Genomic DNA, 4335 nt, shown 5'->3' with positions numbered 1-4335 from the left:
ATAGAATATTAGGTTAGCTCAAATTGATGATTTAAAGAAAACAGGATTGGAGAGGCTGAAATGAAGAACTTGAAGCATGGGGCAGATGAAAAATTTTTAAATTAAAAATTAAGCTATTGAGTTCAGGATTATTTTGATTAAAGAGATCTATTCAAATCTGCCTATTACAGCTTTCACTTACTTAGAGTGATTTTAGTTAGTAATCACCAAATGCAAATGGTCTTGGATGCTTACTTGGTCTCTGAAAACTAGGTACTCATTTTAAAGTATGTTCCACATTTGCCCAAGACAAAATTGCTCAGCACATTCCCAAACCTATGGTGCAAAAGTACTCTTACTGGAAAGCTGGGAATCATTCTTAGAACCACCTTTGGGGGAAAATAAATTGTGGAATTCTAATTTGTTAAATTTTATTTTTGTTGGCAATAGAATATGATCACTTGTACTGTCACCTGCATGGGTGTATGTTTATGATTTCACTTACAAAGAACAAAACATGAAAATTAATCAATGTCCACATTAAGCTCATTTTCCAGTAAAAACATGCAGCATCAATATGTGCAGGTAGTTATAGCAAAGTCATTACCATTCTTCTTGAAAAAAAAAATCAATAAAATTAGAAATAGAAAGATTTAGAAAAAATGCCTATTTTAAAGAACTAATGGTTCTGAGTTTATTTAAGGGTTAAAGACTGGGGCTGGGTATGGCAGCTCATGCCTGTAATCCCAGCACTTTGGGAGGCCAAGGTGGGTGGATCACTTGAGGCCAGAAGTTTCAGACCAGCCTGGCCAACATGAGGAAACCCTGTATCTATTAAAAATACAAAAAAATGAGCTGGGCATGGTGGCGCATGCCTGTAATTCCAGCTACTAGGGAGGCTGAGGCATGAGAGTCGCTTGAACAGGTAGGCAGAGGTTGCAGTGAGCTGAGATCATGCCACTGGGTGACAGAGGGAGACTCTGTCTCAAAAACAAAACAAAACAAAACAGAACAGTTAAAGATTTGTTGTAGTATTGTTTGTACCATTTTTTGTTTTCCTAAGTTAATAGCGTTGAAATTCCAAGTAATTTTTATTATTTGGTTATACTTTTCTTTAGATAGTAGTCCATGGTTTTCTTCTATTTCACAGTGCAATTAATTTCTCAAGTTTGAATAGCATGTGCCTATATAATAAGATGTTAAAAAATGAAAGCTATTTAATCAATATGTATTAAATAAGTAACTTTGGCCAAAATGGAAAATAGAAAAACTGATACCCTGATGTTTTCAACGAGTTAATAGAGCTTTTCAATATATTCCATTTGTTTAAAGGGAGAGGTTACCCCAATAATATAAAAATTTTACTCAACAAAACATTGTCATTAATATTAATCGATTATATGCTGCTTGACAAATTTATTTGTTTGACTAAGAGACAAAGACTTTTTCCACCCAGAAAAATGTATTTAAGAAATACACTCCAGCAGTCATTGCAACACTGAAGGCCTTTTTGAATATCTTACAGATTTATGGTGAAATAAAGTATTTGAATTAATTGAACTCCTCTTCTTTCCTACATATATAAAAATCTTATTTTAAGAATCTTTTACTTATGTTCCAAATTATTTTATTTTATTTTATTTATTGAGATAGAGTCTCCCTCTGTTGCCCTACCTGGAATGCAGTGGTGCAATCTCAGCTCACTGAAACCTCCACCTCCTAGGCTCAAGTGATTCTCCTGCCTCAGCCTCCCGAGTAGCTGGGATCACAGGCATGCGCCACCATGAACACCTAATTTTTGTATTTTTAGTCAAGAGGGAGTTTCACTATGTTGACCAGGCTGGTCTGGACTCCTGGTCTCAAGTGATCTGTTTGCCTCAGCCTCCCAAATACTGGGATTACAGGCCTGAGCCTCTGCTCCCAGCTGCAAATTATTTTAAATTATTACAACTATTATAGCATTTTCATGGAAACATGCTAATGATCTTTTTCTACCTTCTTATATATTTCCAATTATAATATATGCCCAATTTTCTTATATACACCTAATGGTAAAGAAAAATAAAATGATTTGTTTTAACCTTTTTCATTTTCCCCTACCTCCTACGTGGCTCTTTAAGAATACAGTCATAAATTTTACCTTCTCACCACCGGATAGTTCCTATACTACATAGCAAGATTACCTAACTATGAGTTTACTTAGAAGTTCTGGAGACCGAACCTTGAAACAAACTAGGTACCTACCCACAAGGAGACTGCCTCAGAGAATGGTCAGTTTACAACCTAGCTCTGCCTGCAATGGCACCAGACAGCAAATCACGCAGAACTTGCCTCTACTCACCCCCTTCCCTCCATGCCTTTAACACCAAGTCCCTTTTTAAAAGACTCTGCTTTCTGCCCAGAAAGCGGAAGCAGCTCCCTTTAAGGCAGGAACCTGTACCACTTCCTTTCAGCTAAGCTTTGGAATAAAAGCCACTTACTTTCCACCAGATCTCATTCTTGCTCATGGGACTCAGCAAGTGGCTGGCAGATGGACTTGTGTCTGGTTATACCATCTTCGTTACATATGGAAATTTTTATAGTACTGATGTTTCCTACAAAATGGGACATTTAGATATAGTTTCTCAATTAAGTATATGTACAGGATTGTCTGTATGGAGAAATATATTACTAAGTGACAAACTAAGACAATTGAATAGGCCTGAGTTTGGAAAATACATTTTTATCAGGTGCTTTCCTTTTTAAAATTATCTGTGGAGGACATGGTGGCTAAAAAGTAGTGCTGAGGGCAGGTGATATTACATGATGAAAGACAGAAGTTTTATTCTTCTCATTGTGTTCTGAGAAATCACTTTCAGACCAATGACAGGGTATGCACCATTGTTAACAGAGTAAACAGATTTTCTGAACTGTGATTCCTATATCTATTGAAAAAGCTCCCAGATGTCTGTCTCCGTGGGGATAAGCTTTGAACTCTATATTTTTAGAAATTCTTGAGTATACAGAGAATCATTCTTTATGAATGGTAGAAAAATTATTTCTACACATGATATAAAATAATTATACTAAGTGCCATTTTAAAATTTTATCTTATATCACAAAGTTTCCTGTATCTATTCTGTAGTTGTATTGATAATTCACGTATACTTATAAACTGTTTGATGAATTTTTATACTATCACTATGTAGAGAAGCTATACATTCTAAAATGTTATGAAAATATAATAAATCAATAGGGTAATAAATATGAAAATTTAGAAGTGGAAACTTCATAGTAAAATATTCCTTGCAAAAACTGACTCAGAAAAAAACAAAAAACTTGAAAAGTCCTAAAATTATTGAATAAATTAAAGCAGTAATAAAAAATTCACTATTAAAATGAAAATAAAAAAAGATCACTTCAGTGATGAATCTATATAAACATCAAAGAAAAAGATAAGCTCAGTATTATACAGAGTTTCCCAGAGAAAATGAAAAAAAGGATAAAAAACTTGTCAACTTATTTCATGGCATTTAACACAATCTTAATATATAAACCTGAGAAGAGCACTATAGAGAGAAAAATTATAGGGTGATCTCATTCATGAACATGGGTCAAAATATTTGGCCCTGTGTTCTCAGTAAGGGAATCAAGTAATTGAACAACACTATCAATATCCTTCATCTAATTCTTAAGCTAATTCTTCATTTTGGCTGATGGCCAAAAACCTAGGCAATCACAAACAATTTACCTGGCTTTTTTTTTTCAGTTTTCTGATTTCAATTATTATTATTGTTGGCTTTTGAGAGTTCTAGTTATATTCTAAGATTTTATTAAATATATTTAAAGTATTTTGAGTCCATGACTTACTTTTTAAATTCTTTTTTTTATTTTATTATTATTATACTTTAAGTTTTAGGGTACATGTGCACAACGTGCAGGTTAGTTACATACGTATACATGTGCCATGCTGGTGTGCTGCACCCATTAACTCGTCATTTAGCATTAGGTATACCTCCTAAAGCTATCCCTCCCCCCTCCCCCCACCCCACAACAGTCCCCAGAGTGTGATGTTCCCCTTCCTGTGTCCATGTGTTCTCATTGTTCAATTCCCACCTATGAGTGAGAATATGTAAACTCTCTTAATAGTGTCTCTCAAAAAGCCAAAGTTCTGAATTGATGAAATCATATCTTATACACTTATTTTGAAGATTAAATGATGAGTGCATGTAAATTATTAAAATGGTACTTGGAAAAGAGTAAATTTCTGTTTTATCATAGTCTGAATGTGCTACCTCATGAGAACTTTACTCTTTCAAGGATCATCAAAGATAAGTGCTGAGTCTCAAGATTCTTTTTTAAAAAAATGACTTCCTA

The 4335-nt window shown here is 34.1% G+C and overlaps 1 annotated feature.

The window, feature by feature from the left end:
* Positions 522-691: an enhancer, noted in NCBI's record as "experimental_101439 CRE fragment used in MPRA reporter constructs". NCBI's record gives its function as "activates a minimal promoter by MPRAs in K562 erythroleukemia cells, with activity observed for both the introgressed and non-introgressed 8:13799699 variant alleles {active_cell/tissue: K562}" and the evidence as "EXISTENCE:reporter gene assay evidence [ECO:0000049][PMID:34662402]".

Source organism: Homo sapiens, chromosome 8, assembly GCF_000001405.40.
Source record: "Homo sapiens chromosome 8, GRCh38.p14 Primary Assembly".
Lineage (NCBI taxonomy): Eukaryota > Metazoa > Chordata > Mammalia > Primates > Hominidae > Homo > Homo sapiens.
This window is presented reverse-complemented; position numbering and strand designations above follow the sequence as displayed.